The sequence below is a fragment of the Homo sapiens genome, chromosome 1, assembly GCF_000001405.40.
Source record: "Homo sapiens chromosome 1, GRCh38.p14 Primary Assembly".
NCBI classification, from domain to species: Eukaryota; Metazoa; Chordata; class Mammalia; order Primates; family Hominidae; genus Homo; species Homo sapiens.
The window spans coordinates 5661898-5682131 of record NC_000001.11 but is presented as its reverse complement, the minus strand read 5'-3'; the positions used below and the strand labels follow the sequence as shown (position 1 = coordinate 5682131).

At 48.6% G+C, this 20234-nt stretch overlaps 1 non-coding gene across 1 annotated transcript, besides 1 other annotated feature; it reads right to left on the bottom strand.

The window, feature by feature from the left end:
• Positions 1 to 1105: 1105 nt before the first annotated feature.
• On the bottom strand, positions 1106 to 1180 carry LOC124900451 (small nucleolar RNA SNORD66). Its single transcript, XR_007067404.1, has one exon. It is a non-coding gene; the product is annotated as a small nucleolar RNA SNORD66 (small nucleolar RNA).
• Positions 13658 to 14339: an enhancer, noted in NCBI's record as "H3K27ac-H3K4me1 hESC enhancer chr1:5727853-5728534 (GRCh37/hg19 assembly coordinates)". NCBI's record gives its function as "activates a minimal SCP1, AML or CMV promoter by ChIP-STARR-seq in primed H9 embryonic stem cells {active_cell/tissue: H9 hESC(primed)}" and the evidence as "EXISTENCE:reporter gene assay evidence [ECO:0000049][PMID:30033119]".

Below are 20234 nucleotides of genomic sequence, written 5' to 3'. Positions count from 1 at the left end.
CAATCCCTGCATGCAGGGCTCTGCTAAGCGCGCTATGGGCCTTTGTCATTGACGCTTCTAAACAACTTACCAGGTGGGTACTATTATGGAACTCATTTCCAGGATGAGGAAATGGAGGCACGTGGCTTGCCTAAGTTCCCACAAGCTGGTGAGACTCAGAGCCGAGATTCAACCCAGGTTGCCTGAGCTGTAGCCCCTGGGAAGCCCACACTGCCTGTTCTCTGCTCCCCCGAATGAACTCATGTATGTGCCAAGTGGAAGCTGACTCACGCCAGGCACTGTGTGTGCCATGGAAAACATGAGCTGCGGTGGCCTGGTTTCTAAGATGGGCCCTGAGGCACAGGGCTGGTATAATCCCTTCCCCTTGAGGGTGGGTGGGGCTGGGACTATGATGGGGTGACATTCAAATGAGTAAGTCACATGATAAGAAAAGGTGAAGAATTTTTGTAGATGTGTTTAAGGTCTCTAATCCGTTGATTTTAAGCTCATGATCAGGGAGATTGTTCTTGGTGGGCCTGACCTAATCATCATCAGGGAGATTGTCCTTGGTGGGCCTGACCCTTTTAAAAATAGCCTAGAAATTAGAGAAGAAGGAAGCCAGAGAGATTTGAGGTAGCAAATGCTCTCCCGTTGGCCTTGAAGAAGCAAGCTGTCATGCTGTGGAGAGGGCCATATGGAAGGCAATCTTGGGTGCTCTAGGGAGTAAGGGCCTCAGTCCTACAACTGCAAGGAACTGAGTTCTTCCAACAACCAGTGAGCTTGGAAGAGGACCCTGAGTCTTTCAGATGAGATTGTAGCCTTGGCTGACACCTTGATTTCACCTTGGTTAGCACATGTGCAGCTAACCCACACCTAGTCCCACGGAGACTGTGTAATTACACATTTGTGCTGTTGTAAACTGCTAAGTGTGTGAAAATTTGTTACACAGCACAAAAAGCTAGTACACATGCCAGTTTGTGCAACCTGAAAGATGTGTGTAAATGGAGGGCTCAGCACTTCTGCATAGCAGGTGCTGAATCAGCTCTGGCCCCATCCTCACCTCACCCCAGACGCTGCCTGTCTCCAGCAAGGCCTCCAAGCAGGCACTTGGACGCAGAGGCAGAAGCTCCAGGAGCACCTCACTTCCCTCTTTACATGTCAGTGGCCCAGTCACTTGTTACTTAAAAAAAGCCCAGCTGAGACTGGATCCTTTCCCCAGCTGAGACCGGATCCCTTCTCCAGCTACCAAAGACTTTTAAGAAGCCACAGTTGTCACACGGTTGCATAACTTTTTTCCCCTCCAGGCTTAGAGGCTTAGAAATGAAAATATTTTGTCTCTTTTGCATGGCAGGAGAGTGTGGGGGTGTTGGAGTCTTGCAGATCCTTCAGCTGTAATACATAGCACCGTAGGCAGCCCTATTACCAGCCCCTAAAATATGCAATTGGGGGTGAAAATGGATAATGAGATGAGGTTTGAAGAGTGAGCTCTGTGCGGCTCAGGATCTAGCCAGAAGACAGAAAGAGAGTCATAAACATCAAAAATGGAAAAGAAAATGTAGCAATCACATCCTTTGAAAAAACACCCTAATCATCTTTCCAAGGCCTCACGCCAGGCTGCCACAGGGCATGTGTGTTAAGAATGACACCCTCTGCTGCTTCTCTTTCAACAAGTCACAGCTTAGAATCTCCTCTGTGTGCTCAGCAAGATGCAACCTCGAAGAACAGAGGAAAGGACTTTTAAGGACTCCAAGATGGTGTACGCTAATCTGGAGGCAGTGCTGCTACTGCAGATGACCAAGGTCCCTGGGACCTGATGAGGGGTTCGCAGTGTTGGGGCCTGGCCCACCTCCCCAGATCTTTGAGTGAGACTCTGGGGGCACTGTCATTTCTTCCTCTTTATTTGCTTGATCTCTTCCTACTCATCTGTGGGAGCCATTTCCTCCAGGAAGCCTCTCTGACTGCAGGCTGGGTTAGGCTCACTGTCCAGGTTTCTATTGCCCCCTGGATTGTGTCAGAGCAGCTGTTACAACTGTGATTGACCTCCTTCTTGATTTACTCTTTGACTTCCTCAGTGGACTCTAAGCTCCAAGACACTGTCCAGGGACAGTGTCTGTGTGGATCATTGTGCTAAGCATCAGTCCCAAAGCTGGGTATGTAGGAAGAATATTTGAAAGGTCAATAAGTGAAGAAAATATTGGGGGAGTGGGAAGTGGTCAGTGCAAAACCTTCTAAGAAGGGGTTGCCTTGAAGATTTCTGGGAGCCTCTCACCTTTCTTTCCACTCTTTCTTTGAACCAAATCATTCCAGAGTTGAGTCCAACCTCTCTTGTTCTACAAAGAAAATAACTGAAGCTCTGAGAGGGTAAGAGGCTTCTTCAAGTTTACATAGCAAGATGATGGGATAGATCTGGGACAAGAACTATGCAAATGGTTGCTCTGTCACATCACTTTGTCTCAGCAAAGGGCCAAAGATCAGAAGGTGGAACAGCCCTTAGGAACACCCTGGGCCCTGAAGTCGTTTGCAGCATGGCATCTGACAAGGCTGTCTGTCTCTGGTTGGAGGGTCTGTTTCCTTATCAGGAGAGGTGCATGTATAAAACCCAACAGGGACAGCCTGGGGGAAGCAAGAGTGAGGTGCCTAGGGTGTGCGATTCATGGAGGCATCTACTTGTAGACTTGTAGGGCACTCTTGACTCTTGAGATTCAACACCTCCTTATGGTTTGTGCCTAAGGTGCCTCTCTCACCTCACCTTTGTCCCAGCCATGACATTCAAGCCAATGTGTTAGAAAAGTGATACTGAAGAATTACAGACTTGAGGATAAGGCCAAAATCTTACCAGCTCAGGAAGATATATCCATTCATTCATCTACCCATCTCTCCATCCATCCTTGCATCCATCCATCCATCCATCCATCCATCCATCCATCCATCCATCCTCTTATTCATCTGTCATTCCATCCATCCATCCACCTATCCGCTCATCCATTCATTATTCCATCCATCCATCCATCCATCCATCCATCCATCCATCCATCCAGCTATCCACTCATCCACCCATCTAATCATATTCATCCATACATTCCTTATCTAACCATCCATTAATCTCTCATCCATCCATTCACCTATCTATCCACCTATCCATCCATTCACCCATCTATCCATTCATCTATCTATCCATCCACTGATCCACTCATCCATCCACCCATCCATCTCTCATCCATCCATTCATCCATCCATCCATCCACTCATCCATTCATCATTTCACCCATCCATTCATCCACCCGTCCATCCCTCATCCATTCATCCATCCATTAACTTATCCACCCATCCATCCATTCATCCCTCATCCATCCATCCATCCATGAATCCATCCACCCATTCACCCATCCACTCATCCATCCATCCATTCATCCACCCATCCATCCATGCCTCCACCTACCAACTTCAGGAAGCTTATATTTTTAGTTATTTTATTACCTACCTACCTACTTACCTACCTTCCCAACATCTATCAATTCACACACATATATTTGCACTGTGTATCTTTATACACAGATTAGTTCCCTTTCCTGTAGATAATGAAGTTCATCTCTTCTTACCTGACATAAATTCTCACCTCAGGGCCTTGGCACATGCTATCCCTACTCCCTAGACTGTTACCCTCCACACTAGAATGTTTGCTTCTCTTTATCCTTAAATCTCAATTCTAGTCCGTTTCTCTTCTTGTGATTAACTTTTCTGGCTATGCAGCATCTATTCTCCATTCCTAACAGTACCCTTGTTTTTTGGTTGTTGTTTTAGAATCTCCTCTCCCCTATTATGAACAGCCTCAGTGGGGTAGCAAAAATTAAGGTGCTCTATTCCCAGCCAAGAAATGGGCATGTGGTTTAAGCCAGGCCAAATGAACTTTCCCCTTCCTCACCCCACTTCTCAAGATTTCAGTTTTGAGTATAGGGAGAGAAGGAAGTGAGAACAAATAGTGAGAAGGTGTTTATTTTAGCAGCTTCACCAGGAGTGGTTTCCGCTGCCAGATGCCTAGAGGTCCCCATCCTGACTTCCTCTGGGCTCCAGCACCTCACCCATTTCCAGATTACTCACTGCCCCTCTAGCAATTCCTTTTACAATGAGGGTCATAGAGATGGTTTCCCTGGCAAAGGATTCCAAGATAGACATCATCAGAGAGGACTTTGATGATTCCCTCATTGAAGGTGGTCCCCCACCAGCTCAGTTTCCCTTCGGTTTTCTTAGTAGCAATCAACACTTGGAGCTGCAGGAAGTAAGAGAAGGAAGGGAGCAGGATGTCTGGGCCATCCAGATAGTTCACAGTGTCTGTTCATTTGCTGAGGAGCCTTGTACCATGAGTACCCTGTGGGCTTTTAGGACAACATATGTGCCATCCCTTGTGTTTACTTCATTTATGTCTATGTACTTCTTTGGTTTTTATTCATTACATATTTCTGTGTCTCTCTGTCTCCTAGTAGAATATAAAATATAAGCTTCTTGAAGGTAGGGGCTGTGTCTATCTTGATCAGTTTTTTTCACTGTGTAGCACAGTGCCTGGACATAGTAGGTGCTTAACACACATTTGCTTAATTATTATGAAAATCTGAAGTTACCGTCAAGGAAGAAAATTCTCCCAAAATCTTTCCCTGGGTTGTGGAGTCAGGGCCTGAGCACCTTCTGGACTGCGGCCCTTTCACCTCCTGTTCCACCTTCCCACCTATTTCTTTCAGTTTTTATGCAATTATAAACTTAAAGATGGTTGAGAAGAATAAAGACCTAAAAGGTTAGGATTAGAAGTGCTGGCTCTGAAGTCAAACTGACCTGGATTCCGGTATTGTCTCTGCTGCCTTCCTAATTGTAGGACCTTGAGCCTCGATGTTCTCATTCTTAAAATGGAAATCTAATAGTGCTCTCATTCAAGGGCCGCTGTGAGGGTTAGATAAGGTAAGTGGTAAGAAGCTTAGCACAGTGCCTGTCATGTGGAAAGCATTCAATAAATATTTGTTGAATATGAATGAACCCATGAATGAAGTTGAAAAAGTATCTGTACTTGGAAGAAAATCTTCTCCCTTAGAATTCTGATGAGCTGTAACGCATTGAAAATGTACGTTGTTGTCACCATCTCATTATTGCTCCTCAGTTTCTCCCTCCTCCCTCCCCAACGTCCGCCTGTCTGTGCCCACCTGGCTGATCATGGGGAGCTATTTTTACATCTGACGTAGTGGAAAGGTAGCAGATTAACAACCCTAGAGACGTACATTGCTTCTATTAATATTAAACAGGAGATTAATTTTACCAGTAACTGAAACATTAAACATGTATATCCATTAGTGGTCATTATTTTAATCTCCAGAAGCTGTCTAGCGTATTCCAGGAATAGGCCTGATCCAGTCTTCTCCACCTCCTCTTCCTAAACTCGTCAGTGAATCAAGAATCATGGTTTTTATTTCCCTGAGGGAAAGTGGATAATTATAAACTCATGGCTGTTAAGGGAGAAGGTCTGAAAAACTACCACATTCAATTCCCTTATTCAATACTACAAGCCCCTCAAGACCAGACTTGTAACGTGTGAAGCACTTGCTCAAGGTGGTCTTCCTAAGACCTCCTCTTTAATGGGGGATGTCTTGCTGATGTGCTGGCTCAGAGCATCACACCTTGACTGTAATTGCTAGACATAGAGATCTTGGTTGCTAATAATACTTTGAGCGGATCTAGCTCAGCTCCTTTGGAGGACTCGAATGAAGGACTGGGATTAGTTAATAATGATGGGATGCATGCTATGGAGTGAATGATAGGCAACTTAGTAACATAAGGACCCTGCAACTAATAATGATATATAGGATAGGATAGTGCTGATAACAGTCACCAATTACTCCTCACTAGAAAGTTGATGAAACCCTCAAGGTAGGATGAGGGACAAGTATGGCCCAATGGTGAATAGCTTGGGTCACATGTTTCTAGGCCACAGCTCAGGGAGGGAGAAACCAGGCTGAGCATGGTGATGGTCCTGAGTTGAGGAGATGAAGCTGAGAGTCCAGGGAGACCAAAGAAGCTCAGATAAACTCTGCAGGGCAGAGTATTCAGGGCATGAAAAGGACAAAGTCACAAAACAAAAATCTCCAGAGTCTTCAGCTAAATACTGATCAGCACATGTATGCGTGTAAACTACCCAAGTCTGGGGAAAAAACACCTGAAAAAACAGAAAGAAACAGAAAGAACAATGCTTGAACCTCCCACAGAACCAGGCATATTTGGTGTTCCCACCAGCAACAGTGGACAAATCTCATACTTCCCAGACCATTGGATGGAACACTCAGAAAAGAATTGCCTCAGTAGTGTGGAAGATTAGATCTAGGCCAAGGCTGCTAAGGTCCTACTTAACAAGACCTCAAAGAAAACCCTCAAAGAACCAAAATCTTTCCAGATAATTTAACTGCATCCTAGAACATAGCTCAGTAATATTTATAGGAACCCAACAATATCCAACACACAATAAGATACATTTCATGTTGTCTGCCATCCAGCTGAAAATTACCAGGCATGTGAAGAAAAAGGAAATTTTTCAATAATGAGAAGAAAACTTGAACAATAGATACAGAAATGACACATATGATGGAATTAGTAGGCAACGATATTAAAACAGTTATTATAATGATAACATTCCACAACAAGAAGGTAAAGGGAAGCTTGAACATGGAAGCAGAGACATGGAAGACCCAGCCTGAACTTCTAGAGATGAAAAATACAATGTCTGAGATGAAAAATATACTAAATGGCATTTAAAATAGAATAGATGTTATACAAAAAAGGATTAGTCAACTGGAAGATGTAGCAGTAGAAACTCAAAAATGGAACATAGAGAAAAAAATGGAAAAAAATTGAACAGAAAATCAGCACCAACAGGACTAATATCTGTGTAATTGGAGTTCCTGAAGAAGGTGGGGAGGAGTAGAAGAAAAAATATTTGAAAAAACTGTGGTTGAAAAATTTTAAATTTGATAAAAACTGTAAACCTAGAGATCTAAGAATTCCAATGAACCCCTAGCACAAGAGACATGAGGATGACACACTGAAGCACATCATAATCAAATTGCCCCAAACCAGTGACAAAGAGAAAATCTGAAAGGTTACCAAAGGGAAAAGGACATTATACAGAGAGGAACAAAGATAAAAATGGGCTGAGCGTGATGGCTCACACCTGTAATCCCAGCACTTTGGGAGGCTAAGGCCAGATGATCACTTGAGCCCAGGAGTTCAAGACCAGCCTGGGCAACATGGCAAAACCCATTCTCTACTAAAAATACAAAAATTAGCAGGGCGTGGTGGCATGCATCTGTAACCCCAGCTACTCAGGAGGCTGAGGCAGGGAGAATCGCTTGAACCTGGGAGGCGGAGGTTGCAGTGAGCCGAGATGGTGCCATTGCACTCCAGCCTGGGCGACACAGTGAGACTCTGTTCCAAAAAAAAAAAAAAAAAAAAAAAAAAAAAGATGGCAGGCAACTGGTTAGAAACAATGCAAGGCCAAGGCCAGGCATGAAGGCACACACCTGTCATCCCAGCACTTTGGGAGGCCAAGGCAGGATGACCACTTGAGCCCAGGAGTTCAAGACCAGCCTGGGCAACATGGCAAAACCTGGCCTCTACATAAAATGCAAAAATTAGCTGGGTGTGGTGTCACATGCTTGTAGTCCCAGTTACTTGGGAGGCTGAGGCGGGAGGATTGCTTGAGCCCAGGAGGTAAAGGTTTCAGTGAGCTGAAATCATGCCACTGCACTCCAGCCTGGGTGACAGAGCGAGACTGCCTCAAAAAAAAAAAAAAAAAAAAGAAAGAAACAATGCAAACCAGAGGATAGTGCCGTAACTTCTATAAAATACTTAAGGATAAAACAATTGTCAGTCTAGAATTCTACACCCAGCAAAAATATCTTTCAAAGATGATAGTGAAATAAAGACTTTCAGACATTGAAAAGCTTGAAGAATTCATTACCAGCAAGTCCTCACTACAAGGAATATTAAAAGAAATCCTTCAGGCAGAAGGAAAGTGAAACCAGATGGAAGTCCAGATCTACATAAAAGAAAGTAGAGCACCGGAGATGGCAAATGTGTGAGCAACAATGCAACATTAAAAAACATTTTAAAAAGATAATCGACCGTTTAAGGGAAAAATGATAACAAATTAATGTGGGTTTACAGCACATCTAGAAGCAAAATGCATGAAAACAATAACACAAACCCAAAAGGAGAGAAATGAATGGGTACTGTCTTAAAGTTCTTATCCTCTGTGCGAAGTGGTATAATGTTGATGGCAGCCAATGCTAAGTTAAATACATATACTGTATTAGTCTGTTCTTGCACTGCTTTAAAGAAATGTCTGAGACTGGGGCCGGGCACAGTGGCTCACGCTTGTAATCCCAGCACTTTGGGAGGCTGAGGCAGGTGGATCACGAGGTCAAGAGATTGAGATCATCCTGGCCAACAAGGTGAAACCCTGGCTCTACTAAAAATACAAAAAAATTAGCCAGGTGTGGTGGCATGTGCCTGTAGTCCCAGCTACTCAGGAGGCTGAGGCAGCAGAATCGCTTGAACCAGGAGGGGGGAGGTTGCAGTGAGCTGAGATCGAACCACTGCACTCCAGCCTGGGTGACAGAGTGAGACTCCATCTCAAAAAAAAAAAAGTCTGAGACTGGGTAATTTATGAAGAAAAGAGGTTTAATTGGCTCACAGTTCTGCAGGCTATACAGGAAGCGTGATTCTGTCATCCGCTCAGCTTCTGGGAAGGCCTCAGGGAGCTTTCAATCATGACAGAAGGCAAAGGGGAAGCAGGCGCATCTTATGTGACTGGAGCAGGAGGAAGAGAGAGAGGGGGAGGTTCCAAACACTATTAAACAACCAGATCTCATGGGAACTCACTTCCTATATAGTACCAAGCAGGGATGGTGTTAAATAAACCATGAGAAACGGGCTCCATGATCCAATCACCTCCCTCTAGGTCCCATGTTTGGTATTGGAGGTTACATGTCAACATGAGATTTGGGTGGGGACACAGTTCCAAACCATATGATATACCATAAACCATAGAGCAATGACTAAAACTCAAAACCAAACCAAGCAAAAATAGTTATATGTAAAAGGCCAACAAAGAAGATTAAGTGAAATAAAAATACTCAACATATTCAAAAGAAGTCAGAGAAAGAGGAAAAGGAGAACAAACTACAGATGGGACAGATAGAAAGCAAGCAGCAAGATGATCAATTAAAACCAAACTCTCCGGCATTCCACCCATTGCATGTGATTATTTAGCAACTCTCTGCCTCAGACAACAATACCTGTCACACAGGCTTGTCATCAGAGCTTGCCACATGTGATGTAGAAAACCTGCTGTTTGCAGACCTGCAACCATTATATATTAGCTCTTATTGTTGGTAGCAGAGACCCAGGTCTCTGTGTTGGTCATGCTGAGAGCTCCCTTCTCATTGCTCTGTTTTCCTCCTCCTTTGATCCCTTTCTGTACTTCCACGCCCCACACCATCTGGTTGGAGAAGATTCTCAGCCTCTTGGTCTGCAAATGTTCGAAGTCCATGAACCAAACAGCCAACAAATGTATTTCTGTACGTTTATCTGCTACCCAGGGATCCAGGAGAATTGCTTTCCTTCCTGCAAGAAGTCCGTGGCTGCTGATGCCAAGAATGTGCTCTCTCTGTCCTCTCCTCTTTTCTGATCTGCATATTCTCAGCCGCCCTGCACTTCTGGGAAGACTTTACACAGGGACAACTATGAGTTTTTGTAGGAAGATGAGAAGTCACCACTTTGGGAACCATCCATTAGACATTCCAATATTGCTGCAGACATGGACTCTAGCACGTTCTCTTCTTCTCTGACACCCACCCTTTCCCCCATTGGCCACAGCAGCTTGGCTTTGCAGTTCAGCTATGGCAGTGCCTACCTCTGGGGAACTGTGATTTGTTTTATACTCTATCCAATAACACAGTGTGTCCTTATACAAAGCAGGTGTTCAATATACATCTGTTGAAGGGATTTCATCACAGTTAAATCTGTGGAGAGTTCAGCAGATAAGTGAGTTGCTCAAGATTGTCAGAGGCTGTCTTAGTCCATTTGGGCTGCTGTAACAAAATACCTTAGCGCAGGGGGCTTATAAGCAGCAGAAATCTATGTCTCATAGGTCTGGATGCTGGCAAGTGGAAGGTCAAGGTGGTGGCAGATTGGGTGTCTGTTGAGTGCCTGTTCCTTATAGAGGGCACCTCCTAGCTGTGTCCCCACATCGTGGAAGGAGAGAACAAGCTCCCTTGGCTTCCTTTTACAAGGCCACTAATCCCATTCACGGGGTCTCCGCTTTCAGGACGAAATCACTTCCTAAAGCCTTTCCCTCCTAATTCAAACCTAACCTCTCAGGGGTTAGGTTTCAACACATGGATTTTAGGGGCACACAAACATTGACTATAGCAGAGACGTAGCTGGACCTGGGTCTGGGACCTTCAGGGTCCAGCTCCAGTATGACACTCACACTGCACATGGCCTCCCACATAATGTGATTCTGCTCTGTGACGTTGTGGCCATGAGGCCAGGGATGCAGTAGGCCTCTGCAGACGTGGGTTGTTCTTGGGATGACCGCCTGGCTTTGTGCTGCAGGCCTCGAAGAATCCACCAGCTGCCCACTCTCATGCCTGACTCAGGTTCGTGTGTCCCTCCAGGCACATGTCAGACAGCCCACCCCATTTTTTATCTGCCCCACTTTCCTGGGTTCCCTTCTGAACACAGGGACCATGGAGGGAGCTAGGGGTCTCTGTTTTTAGTTCATGCTCTTGTCTTCTATTTGGGAACAATGCCCAGGCAGGGGAATCTCTTCCCTACTGTTTTCTAAGAACATCAGGGGCTTCCTCCAAACTCTTCACCCACTCCCTCCAGTAATCCCTTCTCCCTCAGGGACACAGGGCAGCCGGGACACAGGGCACAAGCCCCCCTTCTGTGTGAAGATCCTGCCACAGTGTGGCTCTGGGGTTTTCTGTGGGTATCCAGACAAGAGGCTAAAGGTGAATGCACTCCGGAATCCAGGAGCACTGGCGATTTTCTCCCCTTAGCTCAGAGAGCATCCCCACAGATACCCCCATCCCACCCCGGGCCCCCTGAATCCATACCATAAAATGTATAATGTCAGTTTGTTCAACTAAGGACCCCGCTGAGTATTTAATCCTTATTTAAAGCTGATGTTTATTTTATTTTTGAGTTTAAATTAATCAGCCTCAGGATACAGAATTAGATAAGGCCAGGATTTAGCTTCCCTGGAATGATTCATTTCACATCGAGCCTTCTTAACTCTTTGGCTGCAGAGGGGAAGTGCCCGTATCTTTCTCTGCAGAGCTGCCTAGGGCTGGCCAGGTGAACAGACATGCTCCCTCCTCCCCGTCCTGCCAGCCAGGGCATGGTGTGTGCTTGTGATGCAGGGAGTTAGAATACAAGCCTTTTCATCACAGCAGTCATAAACCCTCACACAGCGAAACAGAGATAATATACAAGTAGGAAAAAAAGAAAAAAGAAGCAGTCTTGAATTCTGCTACCTAAAGATAACCATTGTTACCATGTAGGCAAGTTTCCTTTCATGCCGTATCAAGTGTTTAAAAAATATGGCTCAATATTACAAACACACAGGACTGTGTAGAGGATAATGATATCAAACTTTCATGTACCTCCCAGTTAAAATTCACACGTGGTAGCTTTTGGATGCATTTGCTCCAGAGTTTAAGGGAAGAGAACATTACGGATTCAGCCATAATGTTCAAGCTGACGCTCGAGTTATATGCCCCTTTTCTAGTCCAGTTACCGCCTCCCTCCCCACTATTCTGAAGTCAATGTGTGTCTTCCCATCCATGTTTAATACCTAGTGTGCATGTCCATGAAGAATGGATAGTGTTTTTTGATCTGTTTTTGCAATTTTATACAAATAGCAGTCCATACATACTCTCCTGAAAGTTGCTTTTTCCCTTCAACAATATCTTCCAGATGAATCTAGAATTGTGTATTTCTGGTCAGCAGAGGATGCGCCCCCCTCACCCCCCACCCAACCCCCTGCTCCAAGGTGATGCTGATGTTCTGGTCCAAGGCCTGCACGTACCATGGTGAGGCTTGGGGTCTTGGGACAGGTCCCTTGTCAGCCCTTCCTAGGAAGCACAGCCAGATGACCTTGGGGCTGGAGTCCTCACAATGCCCCTCACCAGCAGTGTGCACGCCCGTCTTCACTCGTCTTCATCAATATTTGTTACCGTACTTTCTAATATTGTTCCTGGATGTTGCGGTGCAGCTGAACGTGTGCCTTGTGTTTCCCAGCCCTTCGGGTCTCCTCCTCTGTGAATTGCTCCTGGCTCATTTGTCTGTTGGGTCTTTGGTTTCTCCTTGCTGACTTGTAAGTGCTATTTTTTTTTTAGGCGGAGTTTTGTGCTTGCTGCTCAGGCTGGAGTGCAGTGGCGTGATCTCGGCTCACCGCTACTTCCGCCTCCCAGGTTCAAGCGATTCTCCTGCCTCAGCCTCCTGAGTAGCTGGAATTACAGGTGAGTGCCACCATGCCTAGCTAATTTTGTATTTTTAGTAGAGACAGGGTTTCTCCATGTTGGTCAGGCTGGTCTTGAACTCCTGACCTCAGGTGATCCGCCTGCCTGGGCTTCCCAAAGTGCTGGCATTACAGGCATGAGCCACTGCGTCTGGCCTATTTTTTTTTTTTAAATGATCTGGGTATCAATGCTTTTTTGGCCAAATACCTTACAAATATATTTTCCCTCTTTGTGCACTGTATTAGTCCGTTTTCACACTGCTGATAAAGACATACCTCAGACTGGGAAGAAAAAGAGGTTTAATTGGACTTACAGTTCCACATGGCTGGGGAGGCCTCAGAATCACGGTGGGAGGCGAAAGGCACTTCTTACATGGCGGTGGCCAGAGAAAAATGAGGATGATGCAAAAGTGGAAACCCCTGATAAAACTGTCAGATCTTGTGAGACTTATTCACTACCAGGAGAACAGTATGGGGGAACCGCCCCCATGATTCCAATTATCTCCCACCAGGTCCCTCCCACAACACAAGATAATTATGGGAGGACAATTCGAGATGAGATTTGGGTGGGGACACACAGCCAAACCATATCGTGCACTGTCTTTGTCTTTTAACTTTATTCATAGCCTCTTTTGTCAGATCAAAGCTGGTGTCTCCCTCCAGGACACGTTCTGAAGGCATAGGAGCTGGACTGACATTTGGGAGACCTGAACCTTTGTTCCACTTCTGCCATGACAGTTTCATGGGCCCAGGCAAATCACGGCACCTCTCTAGGCCTCATTTTTTTATTCCTGACACAGTGGAATGACATTAACCTCGGTGCTTACCTAAGGGAGGAGAAATGATTCCCCTGCCTTCTCCCCATTTCTGCATTTGCCACAGCATCAGATTTTTGTGTTTGGCCAAGAATATAGGGAAGGAAGAGCAGGTAAGCTTTGGGCACAAAGATCGCATTTAGGGGACTCACTTAAGGAAAGAAGGTCAGGGGGCAGGGAGAGGTGGTGGAGCATGATCTTGGGCCAATGGTGGGGAACTAATGAAGTGCAATGTGCACGGGTTAGGGTGTGTAGCAGCTTGGGTCCCATCAAGAGATAGAAACCACACAGTGGGTCTAACGGGGAAGTGTAGTATAAAGGATTGCAACTATGATAAAAGAGTCACTGTAAGACATAAAGCAACTCTGCCTGGTGCCCTAGTGCAGAGGGAGGTACCCAAGGAAGCACAGATTTGAAAGGGGTTCAGATGTCATAAAATGTGGTTCAGCCATCACATAAGAGACGTTTGCGGATTTGGCCAGGCTGGAGCTAGTCAGCAGCTTTTGCGTAAGCACTAGGCAGCACTGGAGTGCAGCTGAGGGAGTCGGCCATGAGCCGCTGGAGTGCAGGGGAGGGAGCTGGCCGTGAGCCGCTGGTGCAGGGGAGGGAGACGGCTGTGAGACGCTGGAGTGCAGGTGAGGGAGCCGGCGGTGAGCCGCTGGAGTGTAGGGGAGGGAGCTGGCCATGAGCCGCTGGTGCAGGGGAGGGAGACGGCTGTGAGATGCTGGAGTGCAGGGGAGGGAGGCGGCCCTGAGCCGCTGGTGCAGGGGAGGGAGCTGGCCATGAGCCACTGGAGTGCTGGTGAGGGAGCTGGCCGTGAGCCGCTGGTGCAGGGGAGGGAGACGGCTGTGAGACGCTGGAGTGCAGGGGAGGGAGCTGGCCGTGAGCCGCTGGTGCAGGGGAGGGAGCTGGCCGTGAGCCACTGGAGTGCTGGTGAGGGAGCTGGCTGTGAGCCGCTGGTGCAGGGGAGGGAGACGGCTGTGAGCCGCTGGAGTGCAGGTGGGGAGCTGGCTGTGAGCCGCTGGTGCAGGGAGGGAGACGGCTGTGAGACGCTGGGGTGCAGGGGAGGGAGGCGGCCCTGAACCACTGGTGCAGGGGAGGGAGCTGGCCATGAGCCACTGGAGTGCTGGTGAGGGAGCCGAAGGTGAGCCGCTGGAGTGCAGGTGAGGGAGCTGGCCGTGAGCCACTGGTGCAGGGATGCATGGTGGGAGTCTGGCTGCCTTTGTAGGGCAGGAAGCCTCCAGTATGCGTGAGTCCTGCAGGGTCTGGCAGAAGGAATGGCAGCTCTGTGCGGACCCTCTGGAATACAGGTCACTGTGTGCAGGTTGCACAAGGGGTAAAAGAGGGGGTCTGAGAAACTTTTCAGGAAACTTCAGATCACATTGGCCCTGCTGCATTTTGGTTTCCGTGTCGAGATGCTGCAGGCCAAGGCTGCAAGGTGACTGAGGGACCACGCCTAGGTCTGTGGTTGTGGCTTGAACACGATCAAGGCTCAGCCAGAGAGCTCCTGCCCTCTGCAATGTCTCTCCATGCTCTACCTAGATGCCTGCAGAATGTTCACTTCCAGGAGGTATATTGAAAAGTGCTTCCCAGTTTATCACAGTGCACATATTGAAAGGTGCACTAGGAGCTGGGAGGCAACAGACTGAAACCTGACACAGAAGACACTGGCTCATAGCAATGAAGAGAAGCTGAAAAGGAGTGGGAAGGAACTAACTGTAATTTTACATCAGTGATCTGCAACTTTGTTTTGATGGTTTGTGGTAAAAAAAAAAATGACTATTCTTTCTACCCTTCTAATTCAGACATAGCCTGAGACTTTTTTTTTTTTCTTTTTTTGAGACGAAGTCTCGCTCTGTCACCCAGGCTGGAGTGCAGTGGTGTGGTCTTGGCTCATTGCAATCTCTACCTCCCGGGTTCAAGTGATTCTCCTGCCTCAGCCTCCCAAGTAGCTGGGGCTACAGGCGTGCACCACCACACCTGGCTAATTTTCATATTATTAGTAGAGATGGGGTTTCACCATGTTGGTCAGACTGGTCTTGAACTCCTGACCTCAGGTGATCTGCCTGCCTTTGCCTCCCAAAGTGCTGGGATTACAGATGTGAGCCACTGTGCCCGGCCGCCTGAGACATTTTGGACGACAGCTGTGACAGAAAAGATGTGTATCCCTTCTGGGCAGGGGATTTAAGAAGGGGCTCATGGCTTATTGTGTTTTCTTTGCTCTGTTTCTGGAACTGTGGGATCATCTTCTGGGATAAGGGTCCATCTGTTTGAGTCTCTGGATGACTATGACCACCAGAGCCCCCTTGTTGACCCGTGGTGGACATGAAATCAATTGAGAAGTCAAGGCTGGACGCAGTGGCTCACACCTGTAATCCCAGCACTTTGGGAGGCTGAGGCAGGCAGATCGTGGGGTCAGGAGATCAAGACCATCCTGACTAACACGGTGAAACCCTGTCTCTACTAAAAATACAAAAAGGTAGCTGAGCGTGGTGGCACACACCTGTAGTCCCAGCTACTCAGGAGGCTGAGGCAGGAGAATCGCTTGAACCCAGGAGGTGAAGGTTGCAGTGAGCTGAGATTGTGCCACTGCACTACAGCCTGGGTGACAGAGCGAGACTCCATCCCCGCCACCACCCCACAAAAAAAAAGAAAAGAAGTCAACTTTGCTGTTGAAGCCACTGAGGTTTGTGGGCTTGTTTGTTACACAGCATCACCTGTCCTGACTAATGCATGACTCATTTCATCCTTGGCACAGCCCCTGAGAGAAGGGGCTTTATCCTCATTTCACAAATGAAGAGACTCTTCAAGTCTCAGAAAGGTTAGTAGCACGAACAAGCTCACACAGCAAGGGGTGGAGCTTGGATTTGAATCCAGGTCTGTCTAACCTCAAAGACTGAAGTGGGGATGAAAATAAGTTGTCATTGTTGTTTGCCTGTCGGGAACTGATGTGTGGCTCATCGAATGGCTGTGGAAGTGTTTCTGGCTCAGGGGTAGGAAAAGGATGGTGACTCCACATTCCTTTGGTCAAAACAGCCAGGAGTTCCCAGCGGGAGGATGCAAGAGAAGGTATTTGAAAAGGAAAAAGGGCCAAACAGGTTAACCTGAGATTGTCATCAGTGATTGGGTGATTGGCCTGCCCTCTGGCTCCTCTGAGCAGCCAGCTGAGGTGCTGGCTGCCTTGTGATGGGGGCTCGTGGGGCACAGAAATGCTTGGATCTGTTGCTGTGCAGACATTCATTCAACAAATACCCACCAAGTGCCCACATGCACAGGCTGTGGCGCTGAGCCTCAGAGCTGAACAGGGTTCCCTCTTTGCCTCTGGTTCAGTAGGCAGGATGAGGTTTCCCTTCCTCCAGGCAGCCTTCCCTCTCCAGCCCCAGAGGAAAGATTTCACAGACCTCTGGGCAGGCTCATACTGCATTGCAACTGGCTGCTTATGGTTCTCCCCTGCAGAGGGGAGGTTTCAGCTCCAGATCCCCAGGCTGTCCTGCGCCTGCACTGAACAGGTGCTCAGCAGATACTTGGGAAAGAAAAGAAGGAAGCACATGATACACAGGCCCACCCCCAACATGTGAGCCCAGGTGCATGCACCCAAGGTGTGTTTACACATACATAGGCATGCATACATGTGTGCAGGAAGTGTACACACGCTGCACACAGTGTAAACACATGGCCACGAACACACATGCACACGTGAGCATGTGCTTCCATGGCACACATGCATGCACCAATGCACAGCCCTGCTCATGGCTGGTGGAGGGAGGGCTGGCTCTTGAGAGTCATTTTTCCTCTGGGCCACTTCCTATCTCTATCCACACCACCACCAGGTGGGCAAGAGCACTTTGCGTGGTCCCAGGCTTTATGGAACCTTTTGTTTCTGTTTTACAGGCAGATATTCCTTTTCCTGGGCTGTTTTTAAGTTAGCTGTCACACGTAGTTTCTGAGGTCTGAGGAGAGGACTGCTGCGTCTGGCTGACCCCTTTATGAGGTTTCTGCATTCGAACTGAGTCCTGCATTAGAGCTGAGACCCTGAGGGGTGGAAGGTGTTGTCTGCTGAGCCACCAGCTGCTTGCCACAGGAGGGTACCATGATACTCCTTTTCTGTGAGTGACAGGACCCTGCCTAGGAGCGAGGCCCCTCAGCTTTGCCCCAGGCACACTGAGTCTTTGCTCAGGACAGCAGGGCTCTAAGAAGGAGTATCTATAGGAAGAAGCAGGAGTGAGCTCTGGATTGTTCTCTGGGAGGGGAGAGAAGGCCTTTTGGAAACCACATAACCAGCCCCTGAGGATGCCTCCAGCACCCTGGACTGGACACTTGGTCTCTTGGCGAGGCCCTGACGCTGGGATCTGCTGCTGTGCTCTGTTGTGCCCTGGCTGGGAGACCCCGGGTGTGATACTTAACCTTCTTGGGCAGTTTGCTCATCTGTGAAATTGGGACAATAGCATTGTCTTGGATACATTGATCTGATACATGGAGCGTTTGGATCAGTGCCTGGCTCATGGAAAGGGCCAACAGGGCATTCAGTTGCTGTGTGGGGAGCAGCCCTGACATGCTGGGCCCTTAGTGAAGGGTCCTGCTCTTCCAGGCAGGACTTTCCCAGACAGGCCTCATGGGTGCCTGTCGCCAAGGATCTCCCTCCCCCACCGCGCATTGCACTGGCTTCCAAAGATGTCTGCGGTTCATACCCCTTGACATTGGCAGAGGCTCTGGTTTCCCAAGAAGCAGTCACAGGGCAAGGCCACCTTGGAACCTGCAAGGTTTTTTTCCTCGTGGGGTGACATCACAAGGTTTTATGGATGGTGTTTATTTCTTTAAACCCTCTTCAGTCTCCATCTCCATGTCTGAAATTTCATTGTGGTACAAGTCTGCTCCCTGGGTGGGCTTAATCTTGTCCATGCGTCTTCTGCCAGTCGGCACCCAAGAGAACAGTCGACACCCCAACGTGGTTTCCCCACAGCACTGGGGACTCTCAGCATCAACTTTGGAAACAGGCAGTGCACGTGGAGTCCGCCATGCTCCACAGAGGCAGCTGTAGGTCATAGCTCTCCCAGGGGAGCCCAGTCCCTGTCCCTCCATCTAATGTTATTAGAATTGGTTTCCCATCAGCCTTCAGTGTGGACTTCCAGCCTCTTTTCTAGTCACTGCTTCCTGATGGACAGGAGGTGCTGGAGGTGCACACACCTGTTTCTCCTTGCACAGGCCCAGCTTTTGAGCACGTCTTTGTTTGCTTAGTGGTAAGATGCTCCTGTCACCCTGCACTGCTCAGAAGCTATCTGCTTACCCGGCCAGGGCAGGGCAGCAGAGGGTCTGCCAATGGTACCTTTGGGGTGTAATGATTGCCTTTGGGGGAGGGTTTTCTCGATGGGGTTGGTCTCCTGAGAAAGGGCTGCAAACCACACCACGTGTGCACTCTCTGCTGTCATGGAGAGACCTGCATGTGGAGCCCACAGACCTCATAGTCTATTTGCTGTGGGGACAGAAACCTGAATGTACTGGATCCTGAAGTTCTTAAACAAGGGGCTTCCTACCAAGCTCTGCCTCGGAAGGCTGGTTAGGGTTGACCCCTTGCCAGGGTGTGAGCTCCCCAAATACCATCATACCTGGGGCTGTCTCTGGTTTGTAAGCGCCACTCCCTCTGGAGAAGCCTGAAGGATGAGCAGCTAGAGGGGTGAACACTCATGGGGGTGACATGGTGGGCGGGACTGGCCTGGGTGTGGGTGGAGGGAGGACACTCTTGGGTGACGTGCTGGGTGGGACATGTCTGGATGTGGGTGGGTGCCACATATGTGGACACTGGGGCCTCCCTCAGGAGAGTACCAGGCTGGAGCCCCCTGAGTCTCGGAATTTGCTGTTGAAGGAGTGGAGAGGCTGATCTCAGCAGAAGCTGGCTTTGCAGTCAGTGTGAACCTCTGCCCCACAGCTGTGAGGTGGAGCTGACGAGACAGGTCCTTCCCCTCCTTGCGGGTCCCCTCCCCTGCCTCCTGCCCCTGCTGGGAAGGCTGCCCTGTGCAGTGGTGCTGAGTCTGGGTGGGGTGAAATGATGGAAGCCCCCACCCTCTGCTGCTGCTGGAGGCCCAGGGTGGGATCTTCATCTGTCTGAAATTCAGGTCCATGCTGGACAAACACCTTAGAGGGTCCCTTAGTTCAGAGCTGCCTCCCTGTTTATTCTCCTGCAGTGACTGAGGAGCTTGGGGCCGTGACAGGGCATTTGCCTGGTGGTCCTGGCTAAGCCGCGTTCCTTTCCCCAGGAGAGGGTGGCGGGGACTGTGTTGGGGTGGGAGAGGGAGCACTGTGACCCCCGTGTGGCCAGCCCTGCCCACTCCCTGTGCAGTCTTCAGCTCATCTGATCACAGGGCTTCAAGGGATGAGGGCCACAGCTCTGCAAATTGTCAGAGAGGTGGGTAATAAGGAGAAGGTTACATTCCTTCGACACTGCTTGCTTGAATGGGAGATGGGAACCTAAGATTCTGAAAATAAACAGGTTAAAGAAACCAAACAAGATGCCCTGCCGGGCCCAGGAAGGGTCCCATGCCCACCGAGCTCCTGGTGGGGTGAGGGGGTCCCATGCCCACCGAGGTCTTGGTGGGGTGAGGGGGTCCCATGCCCAGTAAGCTCCTGGTGGGGTGAAGGGGTCTAATCCCCACTGAGCTTCTGGTGGGGTGAGGGGAGGATGGAGGTCTGTTGGCCTGGGGCCCTCAGCCTCCACCTCCCACCAGCCCCACTCCTGGTCGGCCAAAGCCCTGTGCACCCGTGGGCTCTTCTCCCACCAAGGTCAAGGCCCTACTGTTAGGTTGTCCCGGGTAGAGCCTGAGAGGGGCAGCCACCAGCTCTGGCCAGACGCCCGGTCATTGGCCACCCAGGCATAAGGAGAACTG